Raw genomic sequence first — 15,905 nt, forward strand, 5'->3', positions numbered from 1 at the left:
TTTTATTGTTTGTTAAATGACTTTATTGTTTGTCATATGATAATTTTATGTCATAGAACAATTTTTATTGTTTGATATATGACTTTATTGTTATATGGCTATACAACTAGATTTTTTTGTTGTTTTTGACCAAGTCTTACTCTGTCACCCAGGCTGGAGTGTAATGGCATGGTCTCAGCTCACTGCAACCTCCGCCTCCCAGGTTCAAGCAATTCTCCCGCCTCAGCCTCCCAAGTAGCTGGGACTACAGGCACGTGCCACCGCACCCGGCTAATTTTTGTATTTTTAGTAGAGACCTGGTTCCACTATGTTGGCCAGGCTGGTCTCGAACTCCTGAACTCGTAATCCACCCGCCTCGGCCTGCCAAAGTGCTGGGATTACAGGCGTGAGCCATTGTGTGTGGCCGATTTTTTAAAAAATGTATTCTTATGTCAGTTTTCATAAGTTTTATTTAAAATGCATTTTCCATTTCATGTAAGCTTTCAAATTTATAGTATAGTTGTTCCTAGTATTTTCTTATCTTTTTAAATCTGTTCAGCATCTGCAGATGTGCCTCTTTTTGATAATTAATATTATTTATTTGTGCTTTTGCTATATTTTTTTTCTTATTGCTCTTGAGAGGTATATGTCGAATTTACTAGTGTATCCAAAGAATAAACTTTGGCTTTGGCAATCTTTTCTCATCTATCTTTGCTTTATATTTTATTAATTCTGTTCTTGTTTTATAATTGCCTCTTTTATCTTCTTTGTGTTTACTTTGCTGTTCTTTGTAAAATCCTCAGTAGAATGCTTAACTTATTGACATTCAGTCTTTCTTCATTTCTACTATGAGCATTTAGAGCCATAAATTTCCCCTTTAACTTCCCTTTCCACTTCAACTACATCTCACAAATTTGGATTAGGAGTAGTTTAATTATCATTAGTATGTAAATATTTTTTAATTTCTGTATTTTCTTCTTTGATCCTGGAACTGTTTACAAGATTTTTTAAAATCCTGAATGTAAAGATTGTTATTATTATTTGTTTGATCTGATCTCTAAATTGAACATATTGAGATCAGATAATGTGGTTTGTAGGACACTAATCCTTTGACAATTGTTGAGGCTTCCTTTGGAACCTAATATGTGCTCAATTTTTATAAATGTTCTGTGTTTCTTTGGGAAAAACATGTATTTGATGGTTGTTTGGTTTAATATTTTATATTTGTACATTAGTTTGAGTTTGCTTATTATTTGGCTGAAATCTCCATTATCCTTAATGTGCTCTCTCATTTTGTCTGCTTCCTTTATTAATTAGAGATAAATGTTAAATTATCTCACCTCACTATAGTAATGTCTGCTTCATACTATATGTATAAAATTTATAATTCCATAAATTTGTGTTATGTATAATTTGGAGACCTATTAACATATACAAACAAAATTAGAATAGTTGATGAAATGACAGACTTATACTTATGTAGTAGCCTTTTTTATCTCGTCATAATGTTATTTGACTTTGTCCTAAAATTTTTTTTAAATTAATATTTGTTTGGTATTTCTTTTTCAGTAGGTTTATGTCACTGCTTGTCAATTGGTACACAGCTGATTTTATTTAGACATGCTACGCTTTTTAATTATTCTTTTTTCCATTTTCATTTTTTATAATTCTAATATACAATATTTAGGTCACTTTTACCTTCCTCTAGTGTGAATTTTACTCTTCCTTTTTTCCCCTATAGCTTTGGTGTCATAATTCAATCAATATTTCTACAATACAGAAACCTTAGAACACTTTCACTTTTGTTATATATTACCAATTTATATGCATAATTTTAATTCAGTCTTGTTTCATAAACTTGATAAATATGTTTATTAATATGATAGTAATAAGAATTTGGGAATTCTTTAAGGCTAATTTGAAGGCTGATTCCTCCTGATCATTTCTCTTAGGCGCCAGGGAGCACTACAAACCTGGCACTGCTTTAAAATAAATATTTTAGCTTGAGGCATACTATATAAACAGTGAATGGAAATTTGTAGGGTTATGAATTATCTGGAACCCTTTTTTCCTGCTTTACGCTAAACCATTACTTTCCATGGAGCAAGTTTATTTTGAATTTATCCTTAACCCTGAAAGATATTGTTGTTCTTTTTTTTTTTGTCACCCAGGCTGGAATGCAGTGGCACGATCTCCACTCACTGCAAGCTTGCCTGCCGGGTTCAAGTGATTCTCCTGTCTCAGCCTCCTGAGTAACGGATTATAAGCACGTGGGCCCAGCTAATTTTTGTATTTTTAGTAGAGACGGGGTTTCACCATGTTGGTCAGGCTGGTCTCAAACTCCTGACCGCGTGATCCACCCACCTTGGGCTCCCAAAGTGCTGGGATTACAGGCTTGAGCCACGGCGCCTGGCCAGGATATTGTTGTTCTTAGACCAGCTTTATGCACAGTCTTCTGCTAGATTCCATTATGTGAACCAGCTTTAAACCAACTCCTGAATCCTTTTCATGGGGCCATAGGCTTTGATAGATCCATCTAAGGCAAAGCCAACTTTCGTGCTACCTCTGAGGATTCTTGCTTTCATTTTATTTTTTTGCTTCTGAACATTCCTTACTATTTTTTTCCAATTTAATTATAAACTTAAAAAGACATATATTTGGTTCAGTGTTTTTCATTCTTTTCAGTGCATATGTTGTTCAGAGAATCTAGATATGGTCAGTTGTGGATTCCCCAATCATATACTTTTTTTTTAAGTAAATTTAATATTTAATTTGTTCCTAGGTAATTATCTAAGCACTATTATAATGATTGAGATTACCAAACAAAGGTACTTTTTATTTGGTAATTAAAATCTTTCTCCAAAATCAAAAGCTAGTCCTTACAAGTTCTCTCAAGAAATTCATGAGGTTAATTTACTTCTAACCTTCTGTGAAGCAACTACATATTTAGGCTTTTATTTACACTAGCTTAGTATGTATGCCACTTACAAAAAAATCAATTTCTAATTCTTCCTTCTATCAGTACACAGTTTACAGTACACAGTATTCCTTTTGGAAGAGTATCTTTTTACCTCCTCTGAGCTTTTCTTTCTATAGTACTTATTTTATGGTTGTTGTTTTTTGTTTGGTTGATTTTTAGTTATTGGTGGGGTTTTTTAGCTTTGTTTCCTTGAATAGATCTTACCATTTTGAGGACAGAATCTGTGATTTATTCATCTCATGAATTCTTCACAACTTCTAGCATAGTGCTGGGTATCTGATACTATCATCAAAATCCTGAAGGATTCATTCACCCTCTACTGACATAAAATATAATATTCATTTTTTTGTGTTTGATTATAATAATCAAACTTTAACTGATTTATTTTGATTATAATATTTTGTTTCTCTAGATTTTCAACACATCATTATTTGAACCACCTCCTCCAGGATATGAAAATGTTTCGGATATTGTACCATCTTTCAGTGCTTTCTCTCCTCAAGGAATGCCAGAGGTAAAAACACAGTGCAACAAATAAAAATGACAAAAAGAAGCCTTCCTTCTCTTCATATGTTCAGCCAATAATTAAAGGGTCATAAAGGGACTTTTGATGTAATCCAATTCATTTTTTCCACATTTAAGTAATGAGAATGTCTTAGTAAGAAGAAGGAATATTGATTATATTTTATTAATGGTATTTTTAAAGATACAATTTACTGCAATGAGATGCACAAATCCCGAATGCACATTTATTGATTTTTGACAAATGCCTACATCCGGGTGATCGAAATGCCATCAATGTACAGAATATTACCTTCACTTCTGAAAGTTCCCTTATGCTTCTTCTTAATCAACTCTACATACCCCAGAGGATATGTTTCTTTGACATTTTTGCCACCATAAATTAGTTTTGCCTATTCTAATTTTTCATCTTTTTTGTTCACTCTGTGTTTTCCTTTGTTGAAAAGAGATTCTTAATTTTGATATTGTCAAATTATTTTCCTTATGTTTTTGCACTTTGGGCCTTCTTTATTAATATTCTCCTTCTTTATTATTTACAGTGATATAACTGCATGACTTATGTATACCAAAAATTAACAATACAGTTTTCTTTAAAAATAGTATTAATATTATCAGATTGAAGCTAAACATAAATGACCAAATAGTATATGATAGCAGAAAGTATAATGAATAAATTTAATTTAAAATAGCTAAACAGTATAAAATATACTTTAAAAATCTTAAATGAATGTGATCTACTGAAGAAGTTGAAGTGTGAAGTGTGAAATTGAAGAACACTAAAATGTGTTGAGCAGTGAAAAGACTATGTATAAAAAAACAGGTTGGCCGGTTGTGGAGGCAGGCAGATCACCTGAGGTCAGGAGTTCGAGATCAGACTGGCCAACATGGGGAAACCCCATCCCTATTAAAAATACAAAATAATTAGCCAGATGCGGTGACACACACCTGTAGTCCCAGCTATTCAGGAGGCTGAGGCAGGAGAATGGCGTGAACCCGGGAGGTGGAGCTTGCAGTGAGCTGAGATTGAGCCACTGCCCTCCAGCCTAGGTGACAGAGCGAGACTCCATCTCAGAAAACTAAAACAAAACAAAACAAAAAACAGTTAAACCGTTTATGTTTCTGGATGAGAAGACATCATATTATAAGGAGAAAATTACACCTAGATTAGTTTGTAGGTTTACTACATGCCCAATTATAATCTTCCAAATAATTTTTGGACTTTGACATTACTATTAATCGTAAGAAAGAGTTTTAAAGAGCGTTGTCTCTTATTTCCTTCAAATAGACTTAAACTCTTCCAGATCAATGGCTAAATACAAAGAGCACACATGTTGTATGGGTTTGCTGTTTATGTTTAAATATCAGGTGAGTTTGCTGATCGGTGTTCCTCACTGGATCATCTGTAACCCAGCCAGGGGAGTGTTAATTCTTTCAAAACTATGTATGTCCGTATGTGTGTTTAAAACATTTCACGGGCCAGGCGCGGTGGCTCACGCCTGTATTCCCAGCACTCTGGGAGGCCGAGGAGGGCGGATCAAGAGGTCAGGAGATCGAGACCATCCTGGTTAACAGGGTGAAACCCCGTCTCCGCTAAAAATACAAAAAAATTAGCCGGGAGTGGTGGCGGGCGCCTGTAGTCCCAGCTACTCGGGAGGCTGAGGCAGGAGAATGGCATGAACTGGGGAGTTGGAGCTTGCAGTGAGCCGAGATCGTGCCTCCTGACCTCAGGTGATCTGCCTGCCTCCGCACCCGGCCAACCTGTTTTTGTATACATAATCTTTTCACTGCTCAATACATTTCAGTGTTCTTCAATTTCACACTTCACACTTCAACTTCTTCAATAGATCACATTCATTTAAGATTTTTAAAGTATATTTTATATTTTTTAGCTATTTTAAATTAAATTTATGCACTTCAGCCTGGGCGACAGAGCTAGACTCCGTCTCAAAAAACAAAACAAAACAAAAATTCACGATCAGTAATCTTTGAATTTACGTCTGAATCCTGTGGAATATGAAATATGGGACTCTGCTTTATGCTATTTAAAATTAGCAATTTGCGATGTTCATAAAATATAGTCTATCTAGTGGTTCTCAAGCTTTTGTGTCTGTCACAATAATCTGGATGGCTTGTAAAACACAGATTCTAGTTTCCACTTCCTAAGTTTAATGGGGTGGAGCCTGAGAGTTTGTATTTGTAACAAGCGTGATATTGTTTCTGAGGGTTCAAGGACCATCTTTGAGAATTACTGGTTTTGCCTCCCAATTCTATCTCTATAAATAAGAGTTAGGGAGATGGAAGCTTAAGGAAACAAAGAAAATTCCGGGCTAAGAGTGCAAGATTCTATTTATTCACAGTCATAGAACAATGGATGGTACAGTGTAAGTTGTATAAGAAGATCTTTGTCTAAAAATAAAGCTCTTTTCTAACTAACAGTGACAACTTGTATTTTAGAAGTGCTGAGAGGGAATATCTGTCACACTTGTTTTCATTTTCAAAGTTTACTCTCATTTTTAAGCTAATATGTTTTTCAGTTTTCTCTCCCTCACAGTTTGTTTTGTGAGGATTGCTGATATATCAAAAGACAGCCACATTTAGAGACATTTAAAGGTACAATCTCCTCAAAGTTACTTATATTAAGGGTAAAGAAAGTAGGATACTTAACTAAAAAAATTATTTTGCTGAAATCACATTGGTTAATGACTTTGTAGCCACAGTTAAAATAGAATAAGTGTGCTCCAGAGAGGGCTAACAATGATAAATCAGACATATAGTGTTATGATTAATAGTGCATTAATATTACATTGGTCTTAGGAAGAAATACAAGAGCTAAATGTAATCCTTTTACAGAGGCAAAGATTCAAATGTCAGTTTCCCAATTAGACTTTCCTCATTTTCTTTAATATTACACCCACTTAAGCTCTAGTTCACCATTTGTATACTCTATTTAAATGCTTTTTAATTTTTTCTGTACTACTTATCACCTTTTAATATAATGTATGCTTTGCTTAGTTATTAAATTTAATGCTCATTATTGTATTACCCCATCGACATTACAGGAAACCCCCAATCTAAGATGGCTACTTAAATTTTTTTGACTTTATGATGGTGCAATAGCCATACTCATTCAATACACTTCTCAACTTACCATGAGGTTATGTCTGGATAAACCCATTATAAATTGAAAATATCCTAAGTCAAAAACACACTTTAGATGTATAATTATTTTCAACTTAGGTGAGTTTAATAAGACTTAATCCCATTGTGACTGAAGGAGGACCTGCAGTGTAAGTTGCTTCAAGGGCAGAGATTTGTTGTATTAACATAGGGCACTGCTTAACACATAATGGATCTTCACCAATTTGTCAAATGAATCCTAGAATCAACTTGGAAACAATTCTATTTTAATATCTTATATATATTTGTCATGTACATGCTATGAAAAATGTAGTCAAAAAGGAAAACAATAACCAAAATAAAATAATAGGATATTGGAAATCATCTGGGACAGGGGTTTCAAACTAGGGTGTGTAAAGACTTTCCAAAGGCAAGCATGACGTGGTTTTAAAGAGATCAGTTTCCAGATCATCAATCACCCTGTGCACTTTTTCATGGTATTGAAAGCTAGCCTGTCGTGAGGTCCTGCTCCCTATTTACAAGCATTTTCATCTCATTTTATAAATGAAAAACATCTCCTACCCATTCTAAGTCAATATGAAGCATATATCTGTGTTGTAAAAATCTCTGGGGCTTCAAAAAAAGAGACAATTAGAAATATTGTTTTCAACGTTAAGATAGTGAATGGTTCTCATAGCTGGGTAACAAATTCTTAGCAATTCAAATAGTTTACAATTGAGCAAAATTAAGGGTAAACCCAATTGAGTTTCCAGCTAATATCATTAAAAGACACTTGTATGATAGACTAATTTGTGATTTTCAGATTATAACTTGAAAGAAGTTTAAATAAGTTAGTGACAATTCCATAACAAATCTTTCGTTCCTATCCAAGTTTTCTCAGAACTTACTGTAAAAACAAGAAATGTAAATTGAACTGTTGTTGCTGATCCCTGTCTCATTCTAGCAATAATTTGTTCACCCACTGAACAAATGTGTTAAGATAACACTTCACTGTCCCACTCATTGCATTAAAAGATATATTTCTAATCAAATTTTATGGTTATACATTATTTATAAGAATTGCAATGATGTTGTTAGACTTAATTTGATACTGCTAGTAATTATAATTATAACTTAATCTATCTTTTTTTTTTTTTTTGAGACCAAGTCTTACTCTGTCGCCCAGGCTGGAGTGCAGTGGTATGATCTTGGCTCACTGCAACCTCCACCTCCCGTGTTCAAGCAATTCTCGTGCCTCAGCCCCCGAGTAGCTGGGATTACAGGCAGGTGCCACCACGCCCAGCTGATTTTTGTGTTTTTAGTAGAGATGGGTTTTCACTATGTTGGCCAGGCTGGTCTTGAACTCCCAACCTCAAGTGATCCGCGCACTCCAGCCTCCCAAAGTGCTGGGATTACAGGCATGAGCCACCATGCCTGGCCTATAATTATAACTTACTCTTGAAGCTGTTTCTTAACACAATCTGTCACAAAAATAATTTTTTTTAAAAAATTGACTTCTATAGATATACTGATTCAAGGAAATTTGACAGTGATTAATAAAAGACTTTCAAGCATACCCATATTTAAGGTAATAGATTCTGAATTGAAATTTAGAATGCTAGTTGATAATTATGGAGTGCTCTCTTGGGATCAACATCTGTGAAAAGCAGAGCTGGATTGGGCAGAGGGAGAAGTCACCCTGCAATGCCAGCTGAAGGATAACCTTGGTTAAGCCTATAAGGAGGTCTGGAATAGTTTCTCAGAATTTTCCTACGTTAGACTGAGATGTCCAGGTCTCTGTACCCTCACATCAATCAGTCACTGAATGTGTAGCATTCTAGGAAGGGACATGACCTTGAGAAAGGGGGCTGTCTACAGCTGAGGCAATCCTTGAAGGGGCTGACAGATGAAGATTGTCTGCAGAGAGCCTCCCCTGCAGCTGGAGCAAAAAGTCCTTCGTTGACCATGAATCTGGACAGCTCATCTGGTGCCCAGCACAAATACATTTTACTTTAGAGTAAAATTCTGTGGGGGAAGATGGACAATATACAAGTTCAAGAAAAAAAAAGAGATGACAAAATTTTGACTGTAAAGAAGAGCATGTTCATGTAATTTTTAAAATTGATGATGTTGAATAGTAAATAAATACAGTATTTAAATTGCTTTGGATCAATATAAAAGTTGTATACAATTTCTTCTAAAAATGTTAATATTTATAGTAAGCTAGATATTGCATGCTTTGCAGCTACTTAAAGGTATGATAAAAAATTTTAAATTTTAGATGAAGGGGTACATTGTCAAAATTAATTTAGGGAATAGGTGAGCAAAAAAGGTTGGAAGATCACTGATTTAATCTAGCAGATCATTGAGCCAATGAGAATATTGAGACTCAAATATGTTATAAGATTTGCACATAATCACATTAATGATTGAAATCAGACCTGTAAAGCAGTGATGTTACCTGTGCTTTTTTCTTTACTTGGTAGTTGTTAAGAACCATTAAGCTACTCCCTGTGAACACACACTGAAGAGAGAAAAGGTCTCATTAAGGGCTTCTTAGCCTAGGGTATCTGGACCCCTTCAAGTTGCGTGCAGCAATGTGTATATGTATATGCTTTTCTGTGGGGGGATGCTTCTGTAGCTTCAGCTTCATAGCCACTAAATATGGGACAAATACAAACAAATATTACTTTATTCATGTGCTTCTAGCCCAACTAATTCCATTCTCAATTTCAATTCATTTTTCCCTTGAATCTCTTCTTTGGAGCTCATGCATTTCTGACCCTCCTGTGTGCTCTGACCTCTTCCCTCTTTCAAAAATGCCCAACAGTCCCCATGCAGAAAAACCTCCTTGTTTTATATCTGATTCATATTAAGTCATTCCTGATCTCAACAGGGTGATCTAGTGCATGTTAACTATGCACGAACTGAAGACTTCTTTAAATTGGAACGGGACATGAAAATCAATTGCTCTGGGAAAATTGTAATTGCCAGATATAGGAAAGTTTTCAGAGGAAATAAGGTAAGGTAAAAATTATCTCTTTTTTTTCTCTCCCCCAATATAAAAAGTTATAGTGGGTTTTACATGTGTAGAATCATTTTCTTAAAACTTTATGAATACCATTATTTTCTTGTATTCTGTGACATGCCCACCTTACAGAGAGGACACATTTACTAGGTTATATCCCAGGGTTAAATTTGAGCATTGGAATTTGGACAGTGTAGATGTTTAGAGTGAACAGAACAAATTTTTCTGTGCTTACAGGTTATGGCTGTGGCCTACAAAGAAGCATGCACTGGGTTTATTATTAACTTTCAGTATCTTTGTTTTAAATATTTTCTACAAAAATGTTTACTAAATTAAATTGTAGTATGAATTGTTATAAATAATGAGTGAAAACAATTTACACATAGCCAATTTAAAAATTACTGTCATTTGATTTGTTAATAAATATATTTTTCTCTTTAGTGGGAAATTAAATTTTGAAAAATGCCCTTTAGACTGTAGAACAAATAGGAATTTGGCCTGTGGGGTCTACTTGCTTATTATATTTCTAAGCTAGTGGAAGGAAATAGCAAATACTCACTACCACAAATAAGAACATTTCCAAATCTGATGTTCTGAGGATTTTTAGAGCTTATAGTAGCAAAAAGAAAAGGGAAATTCTCTCTGAGATGTCCTTTTTTGTAGGCCTAATGACAAAAGGTTGAAGATAAAGTTCTAGTACTCATTTAAGTGTAATATTGAAAATTGATATTACCAAATCTGGAACAACCAATTTAAAATAAGGAAAGAAAGACACTGTGTTTTCTAGGTTAAAAATGCCCAGCTGGCAGGGGCCAAAGGAGTCATTCTCTACTCAGACCCTGCTGACTACTTTGCTCCTGGGGTGAAGTCCTATCCAGACGGTTGGAATCTTCCTGGAGGTGGTGTCCAGCGTGGAAATATCCTAAATCTGAATGGTGCAGGAGACCCTCTCACACCAGGTTACCCAGCAAATGGTGAGTGATCAATCCTTGAATATCACAGGAAACTTAACATTTAAAAGAGACTTTATTAAAGAATTTCCTTTGGCACAATGGACTAAGCATGTCTTTTTTTATTCTCTTTGCATTTAAGAATGAAAGAATTTTGAACTCTAAAGTGATTGGTTCAGGCCTCTTACCCCCTTATTTTGAAACTTGGGCCTGGTGGGCTTTCAAATTTAGACTTTTCAGCTATTTAAAAAACATTATGGTGTTACACATATACCATAACTTGCATAACAGTGACATAGGGGGCTGGGACAGAATATGGGGAAAAAGCATATAAATATTTTTGCTGCAGAGTGTATGAATACTTACGCTAAATAGTAAGTGGGGGGCGGGGAATAAGGAATATAAACAGACTTATGTCTACTCAAGTCAAATTTTGCTTTCAAATTAGTTCAGGTCAGATCAGGTTTTGCTGTTGAATAAATTCCCCCCAGATTTACAGATTTCACAGTGTGGGTAAGGGACAGGAGAGCAGAAGTTCCATAAACTTTTTAAATGGCCCATTTAGGATATAGAGCCCAGGAAATGCATATTGCTTCATTTCTGTAAGATAATGGAGATAACTTTCAAAGAGTGTTTCCTAAATGCCAGCAATTTACTTGCATTAACAACCCTAAAGCTAGGGGGTGTTATTATCTCTTATTTGACAGGGAGGAAAGTGAGACTAGAGGTCAGCCCAAGATCACCCCTCCTCTGAATGAGCAGTTGGATTCAAATTCAGGCAGTCTGGCTCACAGAGTCCACATACTAGTCTTATGCTGAAAGGCTCCCCTGTAAAACATTAACAAAGGGAGCTAATTTATTTTGAATGTGCTCAACTATTTGATGATGTTTACAAAAATCTGTGATCATTAAGTTTGTGTGGTTTAAAGCTAACTAAATTTTTAAAACTTGTATAAAATAATTTGCCAAGTTATCTATGACATTTATGTCTTCATCTGGTTTTACTCTTAAATTGTAGACTCCTGTAAAGATTATGTAATTTTTTTTGGCTTTGTAAATCTTCTTAGAACATAATACATTGTCAGAAATTTTTTTCTTTTTTAAAAAATGATACATATTACCCTATAGTAAAATTATATAAATCTACCTGAACTTTATTTGCTCCACCTTTTTATTTCCAAGTTTTAAAAAATGCGGCTTAGCCTAAGCTTTATTAGTTATGCAAAGTCAAAATAATGAAAATAAAATGAGATTAACTGAAATGCTTCTGTTGATTTTCTTCAAATTTGAATGATGGTATTTTAGGGGGAAAATTATGTTATTTCTATGGGGCTAATGTTTATTGAATCATTTTTTGTGCCCTATACATTTTTATTTTCCTTCTAATTTTACTTTTTATTATGGCATAATTCTAACATATACGAAAGTAGAGACAGTTGTCAACATGTTGTCAATCTTTTTTTATTTGTTTATCACTCCAATTTTTTTTGCTATTATTCTAGAGAATTTGAAAACAAATCCCACACAACATGTCATTATGTCATTTTACCCATAAAAACAAGGATTTGAAGTTACCTAAGTTTCTTATTAGATAGTTTTAAAAAGAGAAAAAAAATGGAAAAACAGCTCTGATTTTTCTTAAATCTGAAGAAATGATAGGATGTGTGTGCTTATTTTGAGGTAGAGCTTACATGCAATAAAATACATAGATCTCAAGATTTCAGTTCAATAAATTTTGCAAATCGCATGTGTTTATGTCACTTAAAATAGAATGTAAGGGCATTTCCATCACTCTGGAAAGTTCTTTTATACCCCTTTCTGGTCAATTTTCTCTGTGTCCCCTAGAAGCAATCACTTTCTAATATCTAGCATCGTGTATTCACTTGCCTGAGTCTGAACTTCAAGTAAGTGGAATCAAACAGTAGATTTTTTTTAAAGCCTTGCTTATTTCAATGTACTAATTTGAGATTTTCCATCATATTGTATGTATTAGTTTTTTTCTTTCAATGATTGAGTAGCATTCCATTGTGGGATTATACTATGGATTGTTTATTCATTCTTCTGTTGTTAGAAACCTGGACTTTGTCTAATATTTGGCTAATATAAATGTGGCTGTTATGAACAATTTTGTACACGTCTTCTTGTGGGCATGTGCTCATCTTTCTAGAGTACCCAGGAGTGGAATTGCTGTGCCATAGTGCACATTTCTGCCTGACATTGCTTTTCAAAGAGTTACCTTAAGTGATTGTATAATTTTAGACTAGATTCTCACAAGCAATGTATGAGGATTTCAGTTGCTCCACATTCTCGCTAACATTTGAATTGTTAATCTGTTTTACTTTAACAATTCTAGCAAATGTGAAATTAGAATTTATTTAATGTGATTTATAGAGAACCGTTTGAATGAAACTGAGCTTTTACTGGAAATATGGCAATTTTTTTTTTTCAGAATACGCTTATAGGCATGGAATTGCAGAGGCTGTTGGTCTTCCAAGTATTCCTGTTCATCCAGTTGGATACTATGATGCACAGAAGCTCCTAGAGTAAGTTTGTAAGAAACAATGGATGGCTATTTGGGTAATTTTCATTAATGACAGTTTTCAAATGTTAGGCTTTTATCTCCATTTTTTAGTACTTAAATTTTCCAACATGGGTGCTGCTTGTAATTTTATCACTATAAAATAGAAGAGTGGTTCTGTTCTGGAATTTAGTATATACATGAGTGTCTAGTGTATGACAGCCATGAAAATGAGCCTTTCAGATATTTAACTGCAGGGAGCCTAATTGATCAATTGCTCCAGACACTGTGCTTTGAAACCCCACTATATTTGTGTCAAGACTATGCTTTCTGTAGGTGTTCTCGGGCAATGACTCAGTGTGGCAAGGATACTACTACAAGCCTGTTTCTGGAAGGCACTGGACTCCTCTGATGCAAAACTTTGGCCCAGGGACTCCCTGATAGCCTGGCTTAAATAGATGCTACACCCAACACTCCTCTTTCTTTTCCTTCTCCCTTTTTCCTTTATTCAATATTAGACCCACCTTGCAGTCTAAGGACTTTCTCAGGGTTTCCTAGCTCTCTGCTCATTTTCCACACGTGCTTTTCCCTAGTAAATCTCTTACTCATGTATTCCTCTTACTGTCTACGTCTGGGAGGACCCAGAATAACACACTGTGAGAGCAACTTCCATTTTGTTTTTATCTCTATTCTTCTTCCCCTTCTGCTTTCATTATTGAAACTTTCTGCTTTCATTATTGAAACTTTCCCAGATTTGTTCTGCTTAACCTGGCATTGGAACTGTTTCCTCTTCCCTGTGCTGCTTTCTCCCATCGCCATGTCCTTTTTTTTTTTTTTTTTTTTTGAGACAGAGTCTCACTCTGTTGCCCAGGCTGGAGTGCAATGGTGTAATCTCGGCTCACTGCAAACCCCGCCTCCCGGGTTCAAGTGATTCTCCTGCCTCAGCCTCCTGAGTAGCTGGGATTACAGGTGCCCACCACTATGCCCAGCTGATTTTTGTATTTTTAGTAGAGATGGGGTTTCACCATGCTGATCAGGCTGGTCTCGAACTCCTGACCTCAGGTGATCCGCCCGCCTTGGCCTCCCAAAGTGCTGGGATTACAGGCATGTGTCACCGCGCCCAGCCACCATTATTCTTTAGAGGTGAGAGAACACTGGCTTTTCTAAAAGTGAAATTGATAGAGACCAAAGCGTCTGGCCAGGTAGTCCCTTTTCTTCTTTAAGTTCAAGCCTTTCTTAATCATTTTATTCCAGTATCTATGAGGAAGCACTTTTTGACCAAGGGCAAGGCACTCATTTTTAGAGGTGAGGAGGCTGACATCTGGGGAGTAGGACACATCTGTTTAAGGGCAGATTAAGAAAGTACCCTGGTCTTTCTTCCTTGGGGCTATAAGATTTACTGCATTGGCTAAGATTCAGGACCGGGCACAACTTTTAATAGCACCATAGACTATGCATTTGCCTAAAAATATGTATAAATAAAGACTAAGTATTCATGATATTTAAAAGATAAAAGTGATTTTGGCATTACTTGTAATAGTGGAAAACTGTAGACAATAAATTGTTGAACAATTTATATGTACTCAAATAATACATTAATGACTATGATAGTAAATGAAGTGATTAAAAGATATTATATGTTGTACCAGAATAATTAATAATGTAGAAAAATGCTTATGATATACTATTAAGTGAAGAAAAGCAAATTTCAAAACTATATATATATAGTATTATCTCAGTTATATAAAAAATTAAAACATGGGGCTGGGCGCAGTGGCTCACGCTTCTAATCTCAGCACTTTGGGAGGCCGAGGTGAGCAGATCATGAGGTCAAGAGATGGAGACCATCCTGGCCAACATGGTGAGTGAAACCCCGTCTGTACTAAAAATACAAAAATTAGCGGGGCATGGTGGTACATGCCTGTAGTCCCAGCTATGTGGGAGGCTGAGGCAGGATAATTACTTCAACCAGGGAGGCAGAGGTTGCAGTGAGCCGAGATCGCGCCACTGCACTCCAGCCTGGGCGACAGAGTGAGACTCCGTCTCAAAAAAAAAAAAAAAAAAAATGTAAAACATGAACCTGTATTATCTTTGTAATTAGAAAAGAGGGATGCGTAATGTCATGGAATTAGATGTGAGATTTATTTAGACGTCTAAGATTTGGTCTGGTTTACTAGGTCAATATCAGCTGTGCTCTGATTGTGTAATGGAATTATCTGATTGACTGAAAAATAACAAACACAATTCATCTGACATTACTGTGTCAGCCTCTGTAAGCCATTTTACAAATACAATCACCGTTAATAACATAACTTTCATGGAAAAGTGCATTCTACATTCAAAATTTCATAATTAAAAATAGACACTTTCTATTTATCCACCCATACTTTCTAAGCCATAATGAAACAGTCCATATAAGTGGCATTTAGTTTCAAAAAATTGTTTAAAAGAACATATGGTTTGTTTATGAATTTCACTGTGAAAATTTACTCTCTTGGCACAGGTACCTTGGGAGTGTGCCAAGATACTCAATTCTCAGGTTCTCTCAAGTGGTTAGCAGTTTAGCATTGTGCACTAATTAGAAAAGACAGTGTTTTACAAATGGAATATATCATGAAATAAAAGTTTATTAATAAATGTGTGAGTAAATGAGGAGAGATATAAAGTCATATAATGGCCCAAGAATGCTGAGAACTTAAATAAAAAGTTGATGAAATGTGAGTGATGGTAAAAACTTCAATGTTGACTTGAGTGTGAGAGAAAGGGGACACCATATATATTGTTTCCTATTTTTCTTTACATGTATACTGA

At 35.1% G+C, this 15,905-nt stretch overlaps 1 pseudogene across 1 annotated transcript in view; it reads left to right on the forward strand.

Annotated features, from left to right (window-relative positions):
- Nucleotides 1-10,143: 10,143 nt before the first annotated feature.
- The window catches only part of FOLH1B (folate hydrolase 1B (pseudogene)), a 39,451-nt pseudogene continuing 33,689 nt past the window's right edge, over nucleotides 10,144-15,905 (forward strand). The window contains exons 1-2 of the transcript NR_175944.1: nucleotides 10,144-10,600; nucleotides 13,026-13,119. The product of NR_175944.1 is annotated as a folate hydrolase 1B (pseudogene) (transcript). The remainder of the gene's footprint in view (nucleotides 10,601-13,025; nucleotides 13,120-15,905) is intronic.

Source organism: Homo sapiens, chromosome 11, assembly GCF_000001405.40.
Source record: "Homo sapiens chromosome 11, GRCh38.p14 Primary Assembly".
NCBI lineage: Eukaryota > Metazoa > Chordata > Mammalia > Primates > Hominidae > Homo > Homo sapiens.